Source organism: Homo sapiens, chromosome 8 (assembly GCF_000001405.40).
Source record: "Homo sapiens chromosome 8, GRCh38.p14 Primary Assembly".
Lineage (NCBI taxonomy): Eukaryota > Metazoa > Chordata > Mammalia > Primates > Hominidae > Homo > Homo sapiens.
Window position 1 is genome coordinate 208344 of NC_000008.11, and position 24072 is coordinate 232415.

General features: G+C 42.9%; 1 protein-coding gene and 1 pseudogene across 5 annotated transcripts in view, besides 2 other annotated features; one reads left to right on the forward strand and one right to left on the reverse strand.

Annotated features, from left to right (window-relative positions):
• On the reverse strand, positions 1-23975 carry RPL23AP53 (ribosomal protein L23a pseudogene 53; annotated as a pseudogene). The gene is made up of 4 exons (NR_003572.2): positions 23786-23975; positions 22461-22564; positions 10947-11074; positions 1-5367 (listed from the first exon to the last, which is right to left on the reverse strand). The product of NR_003572.2 is annotated as a ribosomal protein L23a pseudogene 53 (transcript).
• ZNF596 (zinc finger protein 596) overlaps positions 23794-24072 on the forward strand; it is a 15204-nt gene continuing 14925 nt past the window's right edge. For 2 of the 4 annotated variants that reach the window (NM_173539.3, NM_001287399.1), the window contains exon 1: positions 23857-24072. The gene's annotated coding sequence lies outside the window, so the exon portion shown is untranslated. The other 2 variants (NM_001287255.1, NM_001287256.1) reach the window with 2 other exon arrangements.
• Positions 23880-23979: a silencer, noted in NCBI's record as "silent region_18877". NCBI's record gives its function as "represses an Ori minimal core promoter by ATAC-STARR-seq in GM12878 lymphoblastoid cells {active_cell/tissue: GM12878}" and the evidence as "EXISTENCE:reporter gene assay evidence [ECO:0000049][PMID:35858748]".
• Positions 24000-24072: part of an enhancer, noted in NCBI's record as "active region_26938", that runs on past the window's edge. NCBI's record gives its function as "activates an Ori minimal core promoter by ATAC-STARR-seq in GM12878 lymphoblastoid cells {active_cell/tissue: GM12878}" and the evidence as "EXISTENCE:reporter gene assay evidence [ECO:0000049][PMID:35858748]".

Sequence of the window (24072 nt, forward strand, 5' to 3'; positions counted from 1 at the left end):
TTTCTTAATATTTACAGTTTATACTCTGGAAGAGACCTTGTTAAGAGAACCAAAAGACAAGCCACATATTGAAGAAAATATTTGCAAAATACAGATCTGAGAATTTGTATTCAAAATACATAAAAAATTGTTAAAACTAAACAATAAGTTAAACAGCCCAATTAAAAATGCACACAGATCTGAACAGACGCCTCACCAAAGAAGATCTACAGATGGCAAGTACACTTACAAAAAGATGCTCAACATACTAGAGAACTGAAAACCACAAAAAGATAGCACAGCTGGTCTATATCTCTTAGAACTGCTAAACTCTTTAACAAATGACAAATTGCTGGAGGAAAAACAAGAACTCTTTTCATTGCCGGTGGAACACAGTGTATAAGACCAAAATATGCCACCCCAAAATATAATGGTAGGAAACCAGAATATGCAACCCCAAAATATGTCCCTTTGGCTTAAGAATTATTCCAAGCTAATTATTTTGAAAAAAAAAAATGCTAACAAAGGAAGTTGTGAAAACAGAGAAGTTACACTTGTGTAAGGAAAATTTACATCTATAAAGGAAATCACCATTTAAAAGCTACCTCTCTCGACACCAAGAAGAGAAGGATAACTAAATCACTAAAGAGTCTTATCAATGGAGAATGCATGGACTTAAGTCTGTATAATGAACCTTACCCTTGTCTAATGTGCTTTTGCTGGTTAACTCCCCAATACTGCACCTCAAATCTTCTTTCTTTAAGTTGAAGACAGTATTTATGCTTGAATTGAAAGCCACCTGTTGGAGATTTACTCATTTTTCCCTGAATATCTCCCATGTAACCATAAGGTATACGTGTTTTTCAACTTTTCTGTTTTTCTCATTTTAATCTGTCAGTTTTTACAGAGCATCCCATCTAAGAATTCCGAAAACAGAAAATTATTTTTCCTCCCCTATTACAAGTTGGGCATTTTTTTCCAAAGCTAAACAAGTCTCACCTTACAATCCAAAAATAACATTCCTAAGTATTTTGACAACTACTTTGATGTTATTTCCAATCAAAAGCTACCATGCAATTATTTACATAAGCCCTATTCATAATGACCAAAGGAAAAAAACGGAATCAGAAAGTCTTACAATAGATGACTGTATGGGAATCCACTCAGACATCAAAAGTTGTTATAAAGATTATTTAAATGAAAACATTTGAGATACTGAAGATAAAAGAAGAAATCTTACCACAACTTACTTTGTCCAATTAAAGCAGAGCTCCCAGAAAAATACAGCTGCCATTAACCCCATCCAAGGAGTTTCTTGCAAATTCAGCTGCCATGAAGACAGCGTACTCTTTCGCATTAGCATTGATAAACAAAAATTAAATTATAAGCTCCCAACTGACTGAACAGAACCACTCTTGGCTGAGGGGACCACAGAGTAACTTTCAAAACTGAGTTCTCAGCTTTGCTAGGATGGGATGATGGGGTTAACATACACATCGTTAAACCCACTCCTTTGCTAACCATGATGAGGCTTTCTTCCCTAAGGATTTAACAGAAACCAGCCCTTTCAAAGCCTCCACTACCGATATCAACCTCTCCTTTCTTGCCTGATAAGAGACCACCCACAACAGAGAGGTTCTGGCCAGCGTACAGAGGATGCACAGAGCGAGTTTTCATGTCCTCTGCTTCACCTTTTAATGTCAGAGGGCTGAAAACTCCACCCTGGGATCATGCTAACACTGCCATTTTTTGTACATGGGACCCATGAAGAAGCCAGAAACTCAATTGTGCATGCATGCATTTCTCCTTCCATAAATATTCATGACTCCTCCTGGAGCTTATTAAATAAATGTATTTGGCCATTCCAGTCAGCATAAATTGCTATTTCCTTTACCTCCTCCTTGAAGAGTCTGTTTCTGGCTTCTGGCTGGAGGCTATGCTTCCCAGCCTGTCAGAAGGACAACCCTGCAGGCTACAACCCTTTATAGGAAATAAATCTCTCACTGGTTGGGTGGCTCATGCCTGCAATCCCAGCACTTTGGGAGGCTAAGGCAAGTGGATCACCTGAGCTCATGAGTTTCAGACCAGCCTGGCCAACATGATGAAACCCTGTCTCTACTAAAACTGCAAAAAATTAGCCAGGTGTGGTGGTGGGCATCTGTAATCCCAGCTAATCAGGAGGCTGAGGCAGGAGAATCGCTTGAACCCAGGAGGTGGAGGTTGCAGTGAGCCAAGATCACGCCATTGCACTCCAGCCTGGGCAACAAGAGTGAAACTCTGTCTCAAAAAAAATAAAAATAAACATAAAAATGAAGAAATGTCTCCTTTCCAAATTTATGAACCTCATCATTCTTCCGTTGACAGCATTAAAAGGTTCAAAAAGACCTTTCCATACTCTCCCACAGAAGCCCTAGAAATTGTCATTTTGTTCATCATTCTGGATGCCTGAGAACTTGTAATCCAATGAGTAGAAAGTTTGGTACCCCATTTATGGCTGTCAACCCGCCAGTTCTCAGGAGTTTGTATAAAAGCCTAAATCCGAAAGGATCTCATCCCATTAGGACCCTTGTCTCCTTTTCTGTTGCCTTTGCCCACTGGCTCTGGCAACAGGGGTCTTTCTTTCTCCTTGGCTATCTTTGGATATGGGGGCTCCGTCTTCTGTGCCACCTTAGGGAATGCCTTTTGCAGGCATGGCTAAGTCATTAAAAAGCCTTCAGTTTCAGTAACATTTTGAGTGAGCACTCTCTGAAGCTGCGTTGGAATCTCAGGCTTCTTTGTCTGGAAGATAACTCTTGGGCTACAAGTTTCTTATCCTAGCTTTGGTTTTGAGGCCTCTCTGTTCTCCTCTTGGGTTGGAAGTTATTCCTGGCTTTTTGTTTCAAGGTGTCTCTGTGATCTTGAACTTGCTCCTTTCATGAGAACTTCTCAGTTGACTAAATTCTCCCTTCTCAAACCTCTGCTATGTGTTCCACCAATATGGAACTAATTCTATTTCCTTTCCTGTTTACATGATTTTACTAAGAATTATTTAGAAATTTAATCGCTCCTTTGAGAAAATTTTTATCTTCCAAATTGCCTCCTTTTAGACTTTTCCTTTCCCAGTTGAGTCTCTCAACTCCCTGTAATCACTGAAACTTTAGGCACCCCACTCCATGCCTTGGAGTGCTCTCCATGCTCTCAATGTGCTCAAGAATCTGCAAAAGCAAACATCTGGGGCTGAAAAATAAAATAGAAAAAATTTTATTTCTCAGCCTCCATAAGATTGTATGTCCAAACAAAAGAAAATCTTAAAAATCTCCAAAAATATTGGTGAGAAAAAAGCTTTGGCCCTCATATGAAGAAGATAAAAACTTGTTCCATTTTCCAGATACACAGTTATAATACAAATACAAAATGGGGCAAAGACAAAAACCAAGTCTTCTATATAAACTAGTGAATTTTGTATTATTGTAATAACATTAGTCAGGGTTCTCCAGAAAGGCAGAATCAATAGGATATATGTAGATAGATGAGAGAAGACTCATTAGGGGAATTGGTTCACATAATTATGGAGGCTGAGAAGTTACACAATAGCCTGTCTCCAAGTTGGAGAACCAGGAAAGCTGGCAGCATGACTCACTCCAGATATAAAGGACTCAGAATCAGGGAAGCCAATGGTGTAACTCTGATTCTGAGGCCAAAGCTCTGAGACACTGATTCTGATGTCAAGGGCAGGAGAAGAAGGATGTTTCAATTTCAGGAGATAATTCACCTTTCCTCTTCCTTGTTATTCTATCTGGGCTCTCAACCAATTGGATGGTGCCTGTATTCATCCATTTTTATACAGCTGTGAAGAAATACCTGAGTCTGAGCAATTTATAAAGAACAAAGAGGTTAAATGGGCTGACAGTTCCACGTGGCTGCAGAGGCCTCACAATCATGGCAGAAGGGGAAACAAAGACGTCCTTCTTCACATGGCAGCAACAAGAAGAAGTGCTGAGCCAAAGGGGAACAGCCCCTTATGAAACCATTGGATCATGAGAACTCACTCACTGCCATGAAAACAGAATGGCAGTAACAACCACCATGATTCAATCACCTCCCACTGGGTCCCTCCCACGACATGTACGGATTATAGGAACTACAATTCAAGATGAGATCTGGGTGGGGACACAGGCAAACCATATCAGTGCCCATCCACACTGGGTCAGGGTTATCTCAGTGTCTTCCAGAAACACCTTCACAGATATGCCCAGAAATTGTGTTTCACCAGCTACGTGTGTCTCTCAATCCAGTCAAGTAGATGTCTAAAATTAACCATCAGAATATTTATGCCTGTTTCATGGCTGAAATTGTTTGACCAGCTATGTATGTTTCTTAATCCAATCAAGTAGATGTCTAAAATTAACCATCAGAATATTTATGCCTGATTCATGGCTGAAATTTCAGGATGAAAGCTATGAAATCTCTATTTGTGTTTGTATATCTATTACTGTATGTAATGTATATGTGATATTTTCTTAACTCCGGATAGCACTGCAAAATTCATTTATAAAATCCTATAAAAGTGCTCTATTCTAACTTGGCTTGGAAAAAAATAACCATTTATAAATAAATATTCACCAAACTCCTAGAAATATAGGAACTGATCAAATGTTTTTTAAGTTAACATGATTTGGATAAAACTTACTTAAATGAGATTAATATAAAATTTTTGGTGTAATAAAACTATGTCTTCAAAGTTATCACTTGAATATAAAACAAACATAAATTCCTATTCTGCTTGAGTTCTAGTCAAATAAGCTAATATTATACTTACAGAAATGTAAAATCTTAAAGCTTATAGATTTGATTCTAATTAAGTTGTCACTCTTATGAAAAACATTATTCTTTTATGGTGAAAAGATACACATGTATTTAGAGTTAGCCAGCTGGACTCAGTTTAGATGATCCCAATTTTGTTGCAACATCCAAAGCTTCATAATCAGGAGCCAGTCGAACATATATGCCTTGTTCTCTTTATCAGGAAAAATCAGGGTGGTGACCTTGGCCACATCACTGTCATAGACCTTCTTCACAGCCTGTCTGATCTGGTGCTTGTTGGCTTTAACATCCACGAAGAACACAAGCATGTTGCTTTCTTCTATCTTCTTCCGGCCCACTCAGTGGTCAGCGGAAACTTGATAGCATAGTGGCCAAGCTTGTTTCTCCTGGGGGTGCTCTTCCGAGGATATCTGGGCTGCCTCCGAAGTCGCAGTGTCTTGGGCCGCCTGAAGGTGAGTGACATGCGGATCTTCTTTTTTGCGTGTGGCTGCGGACACCTTTCAACACTGCCTTCTTGGCCTTTAAAGCCTTCACTTTGGCTTCGGCTTTAGGAGGAGCAGGAGCTTCCTTCGCTTTCGGTGCCGTCTTGTGAAAAGCGAAAAACATTATTTCAAAAATAATTTGTTCACAGTAAATCTGCCTAATAGTAGTTTCCAAACTACTTTTGCTAATTTTTAACCTTAAACTTAAGCTAAGTAAAAGATTTGCATTAAATATCTAGACCATTTATAAATAAGATACAATACTAAAACATTAATTACTGAACATAAATAATTCAAGTTTATATACTTTTGGCTTCCTGTTTTTACAGAAAGACTAAAGATATTTTGGCCCGTTAATAAACATGTTTTTTTCTGCCACACTGAGAAATTGTATTATGAGGAAATACATCCCTCTAGATGTTGGGAGACAGTATATTCATACATTTTCTAACCTACTATAGAATGCTAATATATGACAGTTTATAACTGACTACTTCCTAGTTTTCTCTGGAAAATAAAAGATTACTAAGTATTAAAATTATAATCAGTATATGTAAATAAAAAGATTAGAAATAATGGAATAACTAGAAACAACCCCATGCAAAGCATGCAAGAAAAGTAGGGCATGTTTCACAAGTAAAGTAGGATGTATTTTTTATAAGGAAAACCATACATAAGATACAAATAAAAAGAGATACCTAACCTTCCCTGTGTTACATTTGTATGGGTAAAATGTTATGTTTTCAGAAATGATATAAAATTCCTGTAAATTTGTTATGTCCTCCTTATCCATGCTATGTGCCAGTATAGAGTAATGAGTCATAATTCCAATTATTATTTTAAATATTGTGCCGGGTGCAGTGGCTCATGCCTGTAATCCCAGCACTTTGGGAGGCTGAGGAGGATGGATCACAAGGTCAGGAGATCCAGACCATCCTAGCTAATTTCTTACTTTGAGATTGCTATCCACTATTTTTATATATACGTGTGTGTGTGTGTGTGTGTGTGTGTGTGTGTGTGTGTGTGTATTCCAAATCAGTTGTCCTAGCTTGCTCCAGCATGCCTGGGCAGAACTAGACAAGCCCCAGCCCATAATACATGCCATTCCTTATTTGGAGATGCTTCCTTAACTATCCCTGGGCAACTTCCTTTTCTTTCTTTGTTCTATTCCCCTTACCTAATTAAGAAAGTGTTAAACTAATAGTCAATCGGGTAAAGTGTAAAATGTGAGGTCCTATTTCAGCCAGTGGAAACTGGACACAGCACTAGGGTAGACACATCAGGTTATAAGTAACTCTGTCTCCTTTGTTTGGTGTGCTCTTGTGGCTGGACAGCTATTGAGTAGCACCCTTTATGCAGAAAGTAAAGCTCGCCTCACTAAGACATCATTTGTTCCCACGTTGTTTTTTTTTTTTTTTTTTTTTTGGAACACCAAAATCTTCATTCCCAACAGCACTCTGAGAAAAGCCAGCCTGATACCTAGATTACAGGGTTCACAGCCTTCAGGTTAGTAAAGAAGGTCATTTCCCGGTAGGCCCAGGAATTTGGGGATATTTTGGGGGCCTCAAGAAGAGAGGAATTCACACAAAGCCATAAGGACTGCGGCTGAAATTTGATAGTATGTGCTTGGCTTGGGTTTTAGCCTGAATAAGGCCTTTAAAAGTCAAATCTGAGATTCTGTATGAAAACTTCCAGCAAAGAAACTTGAAAGCACCTATGTGGTCATCTCCTGTTCTTGCTGCACTTATGTAAATAATCAAGCAAAATCTAACAAAACTAGACTTATTTTTAAAACAAGAATAGTCTTACTTTGATTATGATCAAAAATGATGGTTACTACAGAGAGAAATTTTATGTTTCAATGGAAAACTATAATTTAGCCGGGCATGGTGGCACATGCCTATAATTGCAGCACTTTGGGAGGCCAGGAGTTCAAGACCAGCCTGGGCAACATGGTGAAACCCCATCTCTACCAAAAATACAAAAATTAGATGGGCATGATGGCATGTGCCTGTAGTCACAGCTAATCAGGAGGCTGAAGAGGGAGGATCGCTTGCACCCAGGGGGTAGAGGTTGCAGTGAGCTGAGATTGCACATTTGCACTCCAGCCTGGGCGACAGAGCCGGACCCAGTCTCAAAAAAATTTTTATTTCTTTTTGAGAAATTTGACCCCCACTGTGTCAGTGTGGGGCGGTGGGGCCTAGTGGAAGGTGTTTGGGTCATGGGGACGGATCTCTCATGAATACATTAATGTCCTCCATGGGGGTGAGTGAGTTCTGCTGTCACAGGAATGGATTAATTCCTACAGGAGTAGCTAGTTAAAAAGAGTCTGGGTTCCTTGGCTTCCCTCTTGCTTTCACTTTTGCTATGTGATCTCTGGTGCACACCTTGCTCCCCTTCCACTTTCCATCATGAGGTGAAAAAGACTGAGGCCCCACCAGATGCAACTGCCCAATCTCAGACATTGCAGCCACCAGTATTTTGAGCCAAATGAACCTTTTTTACTTATACATTACCCAGCCTCAGGTATTCTGTTACAGAAGCACAAAATGGACTAAGACACAAATGTAAGTAAAAACTCACTGAAGGTGTAGGGAAAATGGTGTTGACCTAAGTCACTTTGAAAATGAATAGAATCTGTAAGCTGAAGGCAAATCAACTATACTTCATCCTTGGATTCCATTTTACAAAGTTCTTTCCAACAGAAGCAACTGTGAACAACTGTAAAACCACAGTGTCTGTATCTGGAATAAAACAATGACTTACATTAAGTCGCAGATGGTGGGAACCAGGTTTCTCACTGTTGAAGTGGGAGGTTACAAATTAGCAAGGCGACAAGGCTAGAATAATTCATGTGATAGTAGATCAGAGGTGGAGACATAAACGTAAACTTATGTTTAGTTTAATATAGATACACACAGTTCTACATAGAAAACTTTATAATTAGGTGTGTATAGGTAGGTTAGACACACACATATACTTCCTAGCATTACTAATGAGGGACAAGATACAATGTGCTCTTTCAGCAGCCAGACGTAAGTTTTCCTACCATTCTGAAAGGAATCAGGCTCCTTGAAGAAATGTCTGATACTAGAACTGGGAGAGTAAATATAGGAGCCAGGATAATCTGGAAGTATCAGAAAGTAAGTAAGTACTAAAAAAATTAAAATATATCAAAGAAAAATAAGAGCCAATAAAAAAAAGCTACCGATTGCCAACACAGGAATGAATTGTGCAACATAATGCTGCAGGGTTGAATAATAGCTAAAGCTTAAAGTAATTATCTAGGTGTCTGTATTTGTATGCATAGGTGAATAAGCAAATGGAGTTGCATAGAAATCTCCTTTGCAAAAGAATTCCAACCCTAACCTGACAAACAGTAGCTCTGCAAAATGATCCAAGTGAATATCAAAGGTAACAGTTCACCTTGAGAACATGAAGTGACAATGAGGGACATTCTACAAAATGCCTGACCAATCCTCCTCAGTACTATCAAGGTCACCTGAGATGGAAAGCCTGACACACTGTCACAGCCAGGAAGAGCCCACATGATGACTACATGTCATGCGGGATCCTGGATGGGATCCTGGATCAGAGTAAGACACATCTAAGGGAATCCAAATGAAATATGAACTTTAGTCTATCAGTATTGGTTCATTAACTGTGACAAATTGTGTAAGATATTAATAAGCCATGTGAGACACACTAATAGAAGATGTTAATAAGAGAGGAAACTAGGTTGCGGCTACATGGGAAATCTTTTTTTTTTTTTTTTTGACAATTTCTGTGTAAGTAAAAAGATGTAAAATAAAACTTTATTTAAAACACTGTTTTTTGAACACTTCCTTGTTTAATTATTTATACCATGAATTACTAGTAATTGACACTGTTAACTAGTCCTATTTTTTTAAATAAGAGCATTTATGACACAAAAAATTAAACAGTGCAGACTGACATATAAATCAAAACAAATGTTCTTTACATGTTTTCTGTTACTGTAGTAACACACATGTGTAAACTTAATTCTCATATTTTTTTCTTGTGCTGTGGTTGTGTCCTGGGTTCATTCTCTAAAATGCTGTTCACCTTAGACCAGGAAAAATATTAACCTTACAGACTCTGTTTCAATTCATAGCCAAATATTTTCACAAGAGTGACTTTGTAAAAATATGTTCCAATGGCAAATTGATTCATTGTGATGGGATCACTTATTCCGAAGACTTCCTGTCTTTATTTTGTTGCCATGCCTACCTTTTAGCCATAATACAGCAGAATCAAATATTGCTCACTGGGAAAAAATATTCAAAGAAAGAAAGAATGTGGACAGAACTTATGACCATGATGATTCAATGTTTTACCACAATGCTATCTAAAACAGAAGAGTGTAAAAGGATATTCAAAGTCAATCTCCTCAGTGAGGCTTTGCAGAAAATGAGGAAACTAGAAAAACAAAAATGGCGGGACATTCTACGGGTGATTTTACATGTTGCTATGTTTTATGGGAAAAAAATACTTTACCTTTTAAAGAATCACTAAGAATTATTGGAAACCCAAATTCTGGGATGTTTGCAAATTTAGTTGAACTTCTATGCAATTATGTCTATATAGGTAGCCACGAAGTTGATGATTTTTTAAAAATCTGTGCCTTATTTGTGTAATAAAATACACAATGAATAATTAATACTCATAGGAAAACCTTATGAAGGGAAAATAAATCTTGGGGACCCAAAATCACTAAGCTAAAGGGAAAAGTCAATCTGGGAACTGCTTAGGGCAAATCTGCCTCCCATTCTATCCAAAGACACCCACCTGCTCACCGAGATAAATGCATACCTGATTGCCTCACGTGGAGAGGGTAATCAGCAATGCAAAAGAATGAAATCGTTTGTCTCTTACCTACCTATGACCTGGAAGCCCCCTGTCTGGCCTTCTCACCTTTCTGGACTGAACCAATGTACATCTTACACATACTGATTGATGTCTCATGTCTCCCTAAAGTGTGTAAGACCAAGCTGTGCCCCGACCACCTTGGGCCCATGTTGTCAGGACCTCCTAAGGATGCATCATGGGCGCACATCCTCAAGCTTGGCAAAATAAACTTTCTAAAAAATCTGAGAGCCGTCTCAGATTTTCAGGGTTGACACATGTAATGTAGGATGTCAATGTTTATAAAACAGACATTATTCTATCTACTATTAGAAATATGCTGCCAATTAACCTTAAACTTTCTCAACAAAATAAAAAATGTTGAGGTACAAATAATACATCTAAGCTTAAGTGGTGTTGCAAGTTTTAATACGCCTACTTTTCAATTTTTCAATACTATTTTTACTAATTTAACACTGTAAGAAAAATGAGTAATTAAAACAAGAATAAAAGTGTTTACAGGGGGTGCACATGTTTCCTCCAGCCTCTGCCCAACCCCAGCTTTCATCCCAACTGTCCTGATGGTGGCTCTAAGCATTTCTCCTTTCTCTATACCAAGATCTCTCCCCAGAAACAAACCCAAATCTTACTGTATGTTATGGCACGTTATGATGATGAGCAGTGATGAGCAGCCGAAGCCTCAAGGAAGGGATGCTTTTGTAAAACAAGACTTGTGGAATGTAACATGTGAAAGTAAAGCCCATGGCAGAGCTCCCTCCTCAGCACACGGGGAGCAGACAGGAAGTTTTTCCTCACCTTCCTCAATGGCCTGCAGCCACGTCTCCCCAGGTCAGTCTTAAGGACAACGAAACTCTGGTCTTCACTGTGGACATGCCACACTACCAGGTGCTCCAAAGCCATGGTGACCCGTCCTCGGGTGGGTCCTGAGGAGAAAAAAGCTCTGGTTCTAATCCTAACCCTAACCCTGTCCCAAGACTTTGACCCTGAATCTAAATCCTGATCCCTACCCTGGTCCCTAATTCTGACCCTAACTTTGACCCTGACTTTGATCTTGACCCTGACCATGACCCCACCTCTAAGCATACTTCTGGCCCTGACTCTGACCCAGATCCTAATCCTATCCCTAACCCTATTATTATCTTTACAATCTATGTCTAATCTTACTGTCTAGTGCTAAATAGCTGTACCCGAAAGCACTTTTAAATTATTTAACTTCTTTTCCTTGAATTCTCTAAGGACATCCTAAAGGAGATGTCATTATGTATTTTGCATTCCCTCTGAGTGGTATGGCTTCACATATGAAGTTCTAATACTTTGCAAGACATAAAATGTTTGGAGGGTAACAGCACTGGGTTGTTAGGGATGTATGTTGGCATTCATGATAGATTTTCCTTAAAATAAGAACAAATGGCTTGAGTAGGCTTTTGGAATGTAGGATGTTTCCGTTGGTTCATTTCTGTGTTCAGTATTCCCACATGAATCTAAACATGACTCTGCTCTTAGTAGCTGTGCGACCCTGGGAAAGTCACTCAATCTCCCTCAGCTAAATTTTGTTGTGTGTGTAATGAGAAGAGAGTTGTGATTTGTATTTAGTGAATAATAACAAACAAAAGGCATTTAGCTTTCTGGAACCTGGTATGTAGTAGAACCTCATGGAAATACTAGCTCTGTTAATAAAACTAGCCCAAAACAAGGTTTCAAGGTCAACAACAGTATCAGGCAGTGAAGGACATAGACGAGAAGCTGCTTCTGCAGCCTGTAGCTCCTGGAGGCCCATTTTGTCCATGATTTAGCAGGAACGCACTACCTTTCCATGAGGAGAAACTGCCCACAGAAACCAACGCCATTCTTTGAAGACAAACATGTCTTAATAGCCTTTACATTAAGTAATAGTGTAATATAAGTAATAATTTGTTATTAGTAATAATGTGAAATTATTTACACTACCCTAACCCCTAACCCTACCCCTACCCCTACCCCTAACCCCTAACCCTTAACCCTAACCCCTAACCCTAACCCCTAACCCTAACCCCTAACCCCTAACCCCTAACCCCTAACCCTAACCCTAAACCCTAAACCCTAAACTGTAAACCCTAAACCCTGCGCACTGTGGTTCACGCCAGCAATCCCAGCCCTTTGGGAGGCTAAGGCAGGTGGATCACCTGAGTCCAGGAGTTCAAGACCAGCCAGGATGACATAGCAAAACACCATCTCTACTAATAATACAAAAACCAGCTGTGAATGGTGACACACAGCTGAAGTAGCAGCTACTAGGGAGACTGAAGCAGGAGGACTGCTTGAGCCCAGAACGTGCAGGTTACATTAAGCTGAGATCGTGCCACTACACTCCAACCTGGGCAACAGTGCAAGACCCTGTCTCAAAAAAAAAAAAAAAAAAAGACATGGTATGATGGCTCATGCCTATCATCCCAGCAATTTCGAAGGCTGAGGCAGATGGATCACTTGAGGTCAGGAGTTGGAGACCAGCCTGGCCAACATGGCTAAACCTTGTCTCTACTAAAAATACAAACATTAGGGCCAGGCACGGTGGCTCATGCCTGAAATCCCAGCTCTTCTGGAGGCCGAGGCAGGAGGATCAACTGAGGACGGGAGTTCAAGACCATCCTGACCAAGATAAACAAACCCCATCTCAAACAAAAATACAAAATTAGCCTGCTGTAATGGTGCACGTCTGTAATCCCAGCTACTCAGGAGGCTGAGGCAGGAGAGTCGCTTGAACCCAGGAAGCGGAGGTGACAATGAGCTGAGATCCTGCCACTGCACTCCCGCTTGGGCAACACAGCAAGACTCTGTCTCAAAAAAAAAGAAAGCAAAAAGACAACCCACAGAAAGGAAGAAAATATTTGCTAGCACATTATATATCTAACAACTGTCCATTAACTACAATACATACAGAATATGTATAACTCAACAACAAAAGCAACCAAATTACAAATGGCGGAAGAGTTGAACTCACACCTTGCCAAAAAGACATGCAAATAGAAAACGAGGAAATGAAAAGACGATCAATATCATTATCATTATGGCCATCAAAACTGAAACCACAACCACATACTCCTTCACACACACTAGAAAGGCTATAATCCACAAATATTAAGTAACAAGTGTTGTCAAGGTCAGAGAGAAATCACAACCATTAAATACTGTATGTGGAATATAAAATGGTACAGCCTATTTGTAACATAGTTTGGTATTTCCACAAAAAGTTAAAAACACGACAGGCAAGGTGACTCATGCCTATAATCCCAGCACTTTGGAAGGCTGAAGCAGGCAGATCACTTGAGTGCAGGAGTTCAAGACCATCCAGAGAGACATAGCAAAACCCCGTCTCTACTAAAAATACAAAAATCAGCCAGGCATGCTGCCACACACCTCTAGTCCCAGCTACTAGTGAGGCTGAGGTGGGAGGACCGCTTGAGCCCCGAATATCGAGGTTGCAGTAAGCCAAGATGGCACCACTGCACTCCAGCCTGAGGAACAGCACAAGACCATGTCTTTAAAAAAAAAAAAAAAAAGAGTAGGCATGGTGGCTCACGTCTGTAATCCCAGCACTTTGGGAGGCCAAGGCACGTGGATCAATTGAGTCCAGGAGTTCAACACCAGCCAGAAGGACATAGCAAAACCCCGTCTCTACTAAACATACAAAAATTAGTCGTGCATGGTGACACACACCTGTAGTCACAGCTACTAGGGAGAATGAGGAAGGAGGACTGCTTCAGCACAGAATGTGAAGGGTGCAGTAAGCAGAGATGGCACCACTGCACTCCAGCCTCGGCAACAGTGCAAGACCCTGCCTCAAAAAAAAAACAAAAAAAAAACTGGCCAGTCGTGGTGGCTCCCCCTGTAATCCAAGCATTTTGGGAGGCACAGGCGGGCATATCACCTGTGAATAGCAGTCCAAGACAGTCTGATCAACATGGAGACATCCAGTCTCTAATAAAAATACAAAAAAGTTGCTGGGTGTGGTGACCCATGCCTGTAATCCCAGCTACTCGGGAGGCTAGGAGGAGAATCACTTGAACCCAGGAGGCAGACATTGCGGTAAGCCGATGTCACACCACTGAAATCCAGCCTGGGCAACAGAGCAAGACTCAGTCTAAAAAAAAAAAATCAAAAGGCAACCCACAGAAAGGAAGAAAATATTTACACGTTATATATCTAACAACAGTCTGTTAACCACAATATATAAGGAACTTGTATAACTCAACAAAGACAACCAAATTACAAATGGAGAAAGAGTTGAACGCTCGCTTTGCCAAAAAGACATGTAAATGGAAAACAAGCACATGAAAAGATGATCAATATCATTATCACTATGGCCATCGAAACTGCAACCACAACCACATACTCCTTCACTCACACTAGAAAAGCTATAATCCAAAAAATACAAAACAGCAAGTGTTGGCAAGGTCAGAGAGAAATCACAACCATTAAATACTGTATGTGGAATATAAACGGTGCAGCCTATTTGTAACAGTTTGGTATTTCGTCAAAAAGTTAAAAATAGGCCAGGCACGGTGTCTCATGCCTTTAATCCCAGCACTTTGGGAGGCTGAGGCAGGTGGATCACTTGAGGTCAGGAGTTCAAGAGCAGCCAGAAGGACATAGCAAAACCACGTCTCCACTAAAAAATACAAAAATTAGCCAGGCATGGTGCCACACACCTGTACTCCCAGCTACTAGGGAGGCTAAGGGAGGACAACTGTTTTAGCCTAGAACGTGGAGGCTGCAGTAAGCTGAGATCGCACCACTGCACTCCAACCTGGTAGACAGCGCAAGACCCTGTCTCAAAAAATAAAAATCAAGAAAGGTGGGCATGCTGCCTCACATCTGTAATCCCACCACTTTGGGAGGCTGAGGCAGGAGGATCACTTGAGTCCAGGAGTTCAAGACCAGCCAGGATGACATAGAAAAACCCCATCTCTCCTAATAATATAAAAATTAGCCAGGCATGGTGGCACACAGCTTCAGTCCCAGCTACTAGGGAGGCTGAGGTGGGAGGACTACTTGAGCCCAGATTATGGAGGTTGCAGTAAGCTAAGATCGAACCACTGCACTCCAGCCTGGGTAACAGTGCAAGACTCTACCTCAAAAAAAATAAAAAAATAAAAAAAGGCCGGTATGGTGGCTCATGCCTCTAACCCCAGCACTTTGGGAGGCTGAGGCAGGCAGATCACATGAGGTCGGGAATTCAATACCAACATGACCAACGTAAACAAACCCCATTTCAACTAAAAATACAAAAGTAGCTGGGCATAGTGGCACATACCTGTAATCCCAGCTACTCGGGAGGCTGAGGGAGGAGAATTGCTTGAACCCAGGAGGCAGAGGTTGTGGTGAGCCAAGAGCACAGCGCTACACTCCAGCCTGCGCAACAGGGCAAGACTCCGTCTCAAAAAAAAAAAAAGTAAGTGAAAAGACAACCCACAGAAAGGAAGAAAATATTTGCTTGCACGTTATATATCTAGCAGTCTGTTAACCACAATATACAAAGAATTTGTATAACTCAACAACAAAAACCAAATTAAAAAAGGAGAAAGAGTTGAACAACACACACTTTGCCAAAAAACATGCAAATGGAAAACAAGCACATGAGAAGGTGATCAGTATCATTATCATTATGGCCATCAAAACTGAAACCACATCCACATACTCCTTCATACACACTAGAAAGGCTATAATCCAACAAATGTAAAATAACAAGTGATGGCAAGGTCAGAGGGAAATCACAACCCTTAAATACTGTATATGGAATATAAACAGTACAGACTATTTGTAACATAGTTTGGTATTTCCTCAAAAAGTTAAAAATAAGCCGGGCATGGTGGCTCATGCCTGTAATCCTAGCACTTTGGGAGGCAGAGGCAGGTGGATCCCTTGAATTCGGGAGCTCAAGACCACCAAGAACAACATAGAAAAACCCCATCTCTACTAAAAATACAAAAAGTAGCCAAGCATGGTGTCACACACCTGTAGTCCCAGCTACTAGGGAAGCTGAGGCAGGAGGACTGCTTGAGCCCAGAATGTGGAGGCTGCAGTAAGCTGAGGTCGCACCACTGCACTCCAGCCTGGGCAACAGCGCAAGACCCTGTCTCAAAGCAAACAAACAAAAAAGACCTGCCATGGTGGCTCACGCCTGTAATCCCAGCACTTTCGGAGGCCGAGGCAGGTGGATCACTAGAGTCCAGGAGTTCAAGACCAGCCAAGACGACATAGCAAAACCACGTATCTACTAAAAATACAAAAATTAGCCGGGTATGGTGCCACACACCTGTAGTCCCAGCTACTAGGAAGGCTGAGACGCGAGGACTGCTTGAGCCCAGAATGAGGAGGTTGCAGTAAGCCAAGATGGCACCACTGCACTCCAGCCTGGGCAGCAGAACAAGACCCTGTCTCAAAAAGAAAAAAATAAAATAAATAATGGCCAGGCGTGGTGGCTCAATCCTGTAATCACGACACTTTGGGAGGCAGAGGCGGGTGGATCATCCGAGATCGGGAGTTTGAGACCAGTGTGACCAACATGGAGAAACCCCGTCTCCACTAAAAATACAAAAAATTAGCCAGGCATGGTGGCCCATGCCTGTAATCGCTGCTACTCAGGAGGCTGAGGCAGGAAAATCACATGAACCCGGCAGGCGGAGGTTGCAGTGAGCCAAGACCGCACCACTGCACTCCAGCCTGGGGAAAAGAGCAAGACTCGGTCTCCAAAGAAAAAAAGAGAGACTGAAAAGACAACCTACAGAAAAGAAGAAAATATTTGTGCATTATATATCCAACAACAGTCTGTTAACTACAATATATAAAAAATTTGTATAACTCAACAACAACAACCAAATTACAAATGGAGAAAGAGCTGAACACACACTTCGCCAAAAAGACATGCAAATGGAAAACAAGCACATGAAAAGATGATCAACATCGTTATCATTACGGCCATCAAAACTGAAACCACAACCAGATACTCCTTCACACACACTAGAAAGGCTATAATCCAACAAATGTAAAATAACAAGTGTTGGCAAGCTCAGAGAGAAATCACAACCCTTAAATACTGTATGTGGAAGATAAAATGGTGCAGCTTATTTGTAACATAGTTTGGTATTTCCTTAAAAAGTTAAAAATAGGCTGGGCAAGGTGGCTCACGCCTGTAATCCCAGCACTTTAGGAGGCTGAAGCAGGCAGATCACTTGAGCCCAGGAGTTCAAGACCAGCCAGTACGACACAGCCAAACCCCATGTCTACTAATACAAAAATGAGCCAGACATGGTGGCACATGGTGGCAGACATGGTGGCACACAGCTGCAGTCCCAGCTACTTGGGAGGCTGAGGAAGAAGGACTGCTTGACCCCATATTGTGGAGGTTGCAGTAAGCTGAGATCGCACTATTACACTCCAGCCTGGGCAACAGTGCAACACCCTGTCTCAAAAATAAAAATAAAAATAAAAAGGGCCAGGTAAGATGGCTCACACCTGTAATCCCAGCACTGTGGGTGGCTGAGGCAGGCGGATCACCTGAGGTTGGGAGTTCGAGACTAGCCTGACCAACATGGACAAACCCCATCTCTACTAAAAATACAAAATTGGCTGGGCGTGGTGGTGCATGTCTGTAATCTCAGCTACTCAGGAGGCCTAGGCAGGAGAATCGCTTGAACCTGGGAAGCAGAGGTTGCGGTCAGCCGAGATCGCACCATAATACTCTAGCCTTAACAACAAAAGCGAAACTCCGCCTAAAAGGAAAAAAAAAAATTAGCCAGTGTGGTGGTACAGACCTGTAATCCCAGCTACTCAGGAGGCTGAGGAAGGAAGATTGCCTGAACCTGGGCGATGGAGGTTGCAGTGAGCCGATATCAGGCCACTTCACTCCAGCCTGGGCAAAAGAGCAAGACTTGTCTCCAAAAAACAGAACAAGAAAAAGGAAATGCATGGGACGAAGTGGCATATCCTGAAATGAGGACTTTCCTTCTGGACTGGGGTTTCCGATGAAGGTGACAGTTTATCCTTCAGTCTCCACAGGTCACGAATTTGCCGTCCACCAAGAGGCAACAGAGGGAGCCCCGCCAAGTCCCATGCCAGAACTATGACATAATCACATTCCCTCACTCATTTCAGTACCTAAATATTAATAATTCATCAGCTTAAACATCTACACTTACTTTACCAATTTTCCATTGTATAGATGAAGAGGTTTCCAAATTTTATATAGGTTGTCATGATGTGGACAGGACTTTTTGATAGTTAACTATAGCGAATGACTAAAATATAAGTGTTTAAACCTAAAATACCTTGTAACTGTTAACACAGGGCTACAGAACACAGCAACGTAACAGTCTGTCCAGTAAATTCTTCTGAAATTCCTTTTTTTTTTTTTATAGACGGAGTCTCACTGTCACACAGGCTGGAGTGCAGTAGCACAATCTCGGCTCATTGCAGCCTTCACCTCCTGGGTTCAAGCGATTCTCCTGCCTCAGCCTCCTGAGCAGCTGGGACTACAGGTGCATGCCACCACACCAGGCTAATTTTTGTATTTTCAGTAGAGATGGGATTTCACCATCTTATCCAGGCTGGTCTCGAACTCCTGACATCAGGTGATCTGCCTGCCTCAGCCTCCCGAAGTGCTGGGATTACAGGAGTGAGCCACTGCACCCAGCCCTCTTCTGCAATTTCAATAATCAATTGTGCTATTTGTCTTTCTTTCAGCAATGAGATTTTATTTTTCTTTCCTAATTATTTCAAACATGAACTTTGGTTCCAGAGAACTAGTATTTCCTTGATTTATAAATTGAGGGCAGCTGGGCACGGTGGCTCAGGCCTGTAATCCCAGCACTTTGGGAGGCCAAGGCAGGCAGATCACTGGAGGTCAGGAGATCAAGACCAGCCTGGCAAACATGGTGAAACCTGATCTCCACTAAAATTGCAAAAAATAGCCAGCCATGGTGGCAGGTGCCTGTAGTCCCAGCTACTCAGGAGACTGAGACAGGAGAATCGCTGGAACCCGAGAGGTGGAGACTCTGGTGAGCCAAGATCATGCCACTGCACTCCAGCCTGGGTAACATAGGGAGATTCTATCCTCAAAAAAAAAAAAAAAAAAAAATTGACGGTCGTCTCACAGACAATCTAATAATGAATTATTTTTTTGTCTTTAGAAAATCAACATTAACTTTTCTACTTTTAGATATCGTAATTGCTGTGACTTGAAGGACTTATCTAGAAAAAGCCTTAAAAAACTACGGTCAGCACTGGGTGAATGGGTTGAGGGAACCCACATAAAATCCCCAAGACACCTGGGAGTCCATGTCCCCATGAGTGGGACTGCAGGCAGCTGTAGCAGACTGGATGGGAGAGGACAGCAGGCAGGAGAACTCGGTGTCTGGAGTCCACGGTTCTAAGGCCAGTGAAAACCACTGGCAAAGTGAAATCCGAAGCTTGACAGGATGAAATTTGTGATTGTAAATGAATATTTGCCATTTCCAAGTGAGATCGCCAGTGGTGGTGGGATGGACGGGTGCTCCTCCAAGTGGGCTGCAGTGAGGAGAGCGCGGCACCACGCCAGGATGCTCCTGCCAGGAACACAGGATCTGCACACGTTTAGGAGGAAACGCTGGGCAGACCCAGCTTGGAGTCATCTCTGCTCTTTACATCTGTTAAGGCTGTGAAAACTGAGAGTCGGCCGGATGCAGTGGTTCACGCCTGTAATCCCAGCACACTGGGATGCTGAGGCGAATGGATCACCTGAGGTCAGGAGTTCAAGACTAGCCTGGCCAACATGGTGAAACCCCATCTCTACTAAAAATACAGAAAATTAGCCGGGTGTGGTGGTAGGTGCCTGTAATTACAGCTTATCGGGAAGCTGACGCAAAAGAATATCTTGAACATGGGAGGCAGACGTTGCAATGAGCAGAGATGGCGCCATTGCACTCCAGCCTGGGTGACAGAGGGAGACTCCCTCAAAAAAAACAAAAAACAGAACACTGAGTCTCAGGAACAGTTCCCGAGAAGGAAAATTGGGCCCGCATGGAAATAGACATTTTTCTCCCACCTAGGGCAGGGAGTGAAGTGAAATAGGTCTGTGGAGTGGACTTTCACATAGAAACCATGTATTTCCTAAATTGGGGGTTACTTGGGGATCACCTGGAGGAGTATTCCTGGTTTTGGTGAAACACACGGGGGTATTTTTTGTGAAGCTGCAAATCTGGCACAGCAATAACGGCTGGGGAACTGGAGATCAAGGAGAAGGCATACTAAGTGCTGTTGCAAGTTTCCCAGAAGTATGACATTATTGGGAAGTAAACTACTTTTTAAAACAACCGTGGCAATACCACGTCAGTAAGCCAGAGACAACACCATGAAGTTTCATGACAGAGGCCAAATGCAGCCCAAACCCAGCCCAGCAGAGGCTGTCAACTCAGCGCCCCAGCGAGAGCCGGAAGGTTCCATCCTCAGAGCTGCAGACCCTCTCGTGTGGGCTGCAAAGGCCATGTCTGCATCCCGGGCGGTATGTACGCTCTGAGAGATACATGCGTGTTCCGGGGGTTATATGAGTGTGACGGGTGTGGCGTGAGTCTGACTGTGTCACGGGCGTTCCAGGGGTTACGTGTGTGCTCTGAGGGACACATGCGTGTTCCGGGGGTTATATGAGTGTGACGGCTGTAGCGTTAGGTGACGATGTCATCTCCGCGTTCCAAGCGTTATGTGCGCACTGAGGGACACATCCACGTTCCCGGGGTTGGATGTGGAAGGCAGCTACCCCGACGGGTGTGCTCTCTGCATACGACGGGTGCTAACACTAGCATCACAGATGCAGTGTTATTAGCACTACAGAGGTTATTGTCAGTGTGGCGGGTGTTCTAGTTGCTTTCCTGACACTACATTTCTGTTCCAAGACCGCAGCTTGGCCCTGTGGCCGCCTCGCCTTGGGTGTGGAGAATGAACCTCGAGTGCGCTGGATTCACAGGGGATTTTGGTTTCTAATTTTCCACATGAAGGGTCTCTACCCCTCAGCAGTCAGGGCTGAAAACAGGAAGGATTTTACTCAACCATGGACGCCGCCGGCTCAAGGTGTCCCAAAGCGAGGGGCGTTTCCTGGTATGTGCTGAGGAGAACGCGGCTCCCGCCCTTGCAGGGTGCAGGCGCGGAGGAAGCGTGCGGGATGCGGCCGCCTCAAGGCTCAGAAAAGCCGGGCTCGCGCGTGCTCTGCTGGCGGCCGGGGGCACTGCAGCGCCCTAGAGCTCAAGGCACTGTCGGAAGCTGAGCGCCCTCTGCTACCCCTCCTGCTGCACCAACTAAAAGACAGCATGGAGTGTTCGGCGCCATCATTCTAGAAATGCAAACTGACACAGAGCCCATTAGCCCGTGAGTTTCTAAAAATGCAGAAGGGACAATTAATTGGAAACCATAGGAAATGAAATCAACATGAATGCACATTTTACAACTTATGCAAAAAGTCACTCAACATAGTCCTCAGACTTAAAATGCAAAACCGTCAGAGGCCTCTTAACCACAGTGACTTTATTTCAAATAAAGGCTTTTAAAAAGTTAAATCTGGGCAGGGTGCAGTGGTCACATCTGTAATCCCAGCACTTTGGAAGGCCAAGGCGGGTGGATCACTTGAGATCAGGAGTTGAAGACCAGCTTGGGCAAATAGCAAGACCCTTATGTCTACAAAAAATATATATATATATTAGATGGCATGCTTGCACATACCTGTAGTCCCAGCTACCCAGGAGGCTGAAGCGGGAGGATTGCTTGAGCCCAGGAGTTCGAGGCTGCAATGAGCCAGCCATAATCGCACCACTGCACTCCAGCCTGGGCGACAGAGTGAGACCCTGTCTCTCTCTCTCTGTCACACACACACACACGTTAAATTTGTTGGATTATATATTTCGGGGGTTGAGCACTTTTCGTTATAAAATATTTATGATTGTGGGAACAAGTTAATAAAGACATGAAAGTTATTTAAATGTCCCAGAACTTTAAGAACAAAAAGCATTCTTAGTTTAAAAATAAGTTTTACTTTAAAGGTAACAGTACACACATAAATTGTTGTTAAAATCGACAGTAACAAAGAGAAGTAACAATACTAATAGCCTGTCACAAACTGATTCTTAATAACCTATATAAACAAACATTAAGCCCGGGCGCCGGGTGGCTCATGCCTGTTATCCCAGCACTTTGGGAAGCCGAGGCAGGCAGATCACTTGAGGCCAGGAGTTCCAGACCAGCCTGACCAACATGGTGAAGCCCAGTCTCTACCAAAAACACAAAAAATTAGCCGGGTATATTGGCACGCACCTGTAATCCCAGCTACTTGGGAGACTGAGGCAGGAGAATCCTTGAACCCAGGAAGCAGAGGTCGCAGTGAGGCGAGACCATGCCATTGTGACAGGAGAGAAACTCTGTCTCAAAAAAAAATTATATGTTTACAACAGGTGCATTTCTCCTCTTGCTTTCTGAGGACGCCCTGCTATGTAGCTGAGTAGTCACTAATAAACTATCTTAACTTCACTATACTCTGTGACTTGCCAAAAGGTCTTTCCCATGTGAAATCCAAAAACCTGTTCTTGGGGTCTAGGACAAGACCCATTTTATAATGACAAAACTATACAAATTCTAGAGGGAAACATAGAAAGAAAGCTATGTGACCTTGCGTTTGGCCATGAGTTTTAACACGACACTATCAGAGGCATTTGAACCCCTCCTCTATATGAACTCCAGGGTGGTTTATGTTCCATTGGCTAAGAGAAAGTTTTCTTCAAAAATGTGACATGATTTGAGGTCAAACATTAATATCAAGTAAACTCAAAAGATTGAGAAGCTAGCATTAGTTCTGGGAAAACCAGAAGTGTGCCTTTTTTGGAAATAATCATTGGTAGCACAAACTTAAGAATCTCCAAAGGAAATAAAAATGAGTTATTAACTTACAGTTTTCACCAATTAAGATATAAATGAAGCTAACGAAATCCGGAAATACAATTTCACTGTTTTTAATGTTCATTAAAAAAAAATCCTTATCAAATAGCCCCAGTAAGTCACCAATTAAGTCTTTACTACTTAAAAGCAAAATCCACCTATGTCCTGAACAGTATCCACTTTACGAGCCTCATTATATGTACGAGATAAAATTCAGAAATAAATAAATATACATGTATACGTATACAAATATATTTCAAATTAAAAAATACTTTTAGATAGTGGTATGTATTACATTTAGAAATTAATAACGAAGTAAATTATGGGATGTCATCCACGCCTGTCCCAAAGGTACCGAATTTATAAATCATCTCAGGTGCGGAGCAGGACAGGTTGAAAATAGGAATGACATGAACCCGCGCGGAACAGCTGCCGGCGCGGTGTCCAGGGCGGCACCCCGCCCGGTCCCGGCCCCTCCAGCCCTGGGCCCGACCCCTACTACGCCTCTGCCTCGACGCGAACGCGGAGCCCGAGCGCGCGTCACGCCGTGTGGGGCCGAAGAGGCTGCTACCCAGAGGCGGAGTGCGGGCTCGCGAGGGTCCCCACCCGACTCTCGCTCCCGCCAGCACCTACGGACTCGCGTCCCCGCCGCGCGCCGACTCGGGAGCAGCACCGCCCCCGGCACAGGAGCCTCACGCGCCTCTTACCTAACAGGAAGTTGGGTGGAAGCAGCGCGGACCCACGGCACACCGAACGCACTCCAACAGAACCCGACGCAGACACGCGCTTTCAACCGGCGGAGACACTGGCAGGGCCAGAAACGCGCGCAGCGGGGGCGGGAGGTCGGTAAGCTCCCCGCCCCTGCCCGAGACCCCGCCCCGGCCCGGCCCCGCCTTTTTCTCTGCCTCCCCTCCCTGCACGTACGGGCCCCGCCCCTCGCGCGACGTTTTTTGTTGACCCGGAAACGGATTCTCCGGAGCCGAGGTCCGCTCGG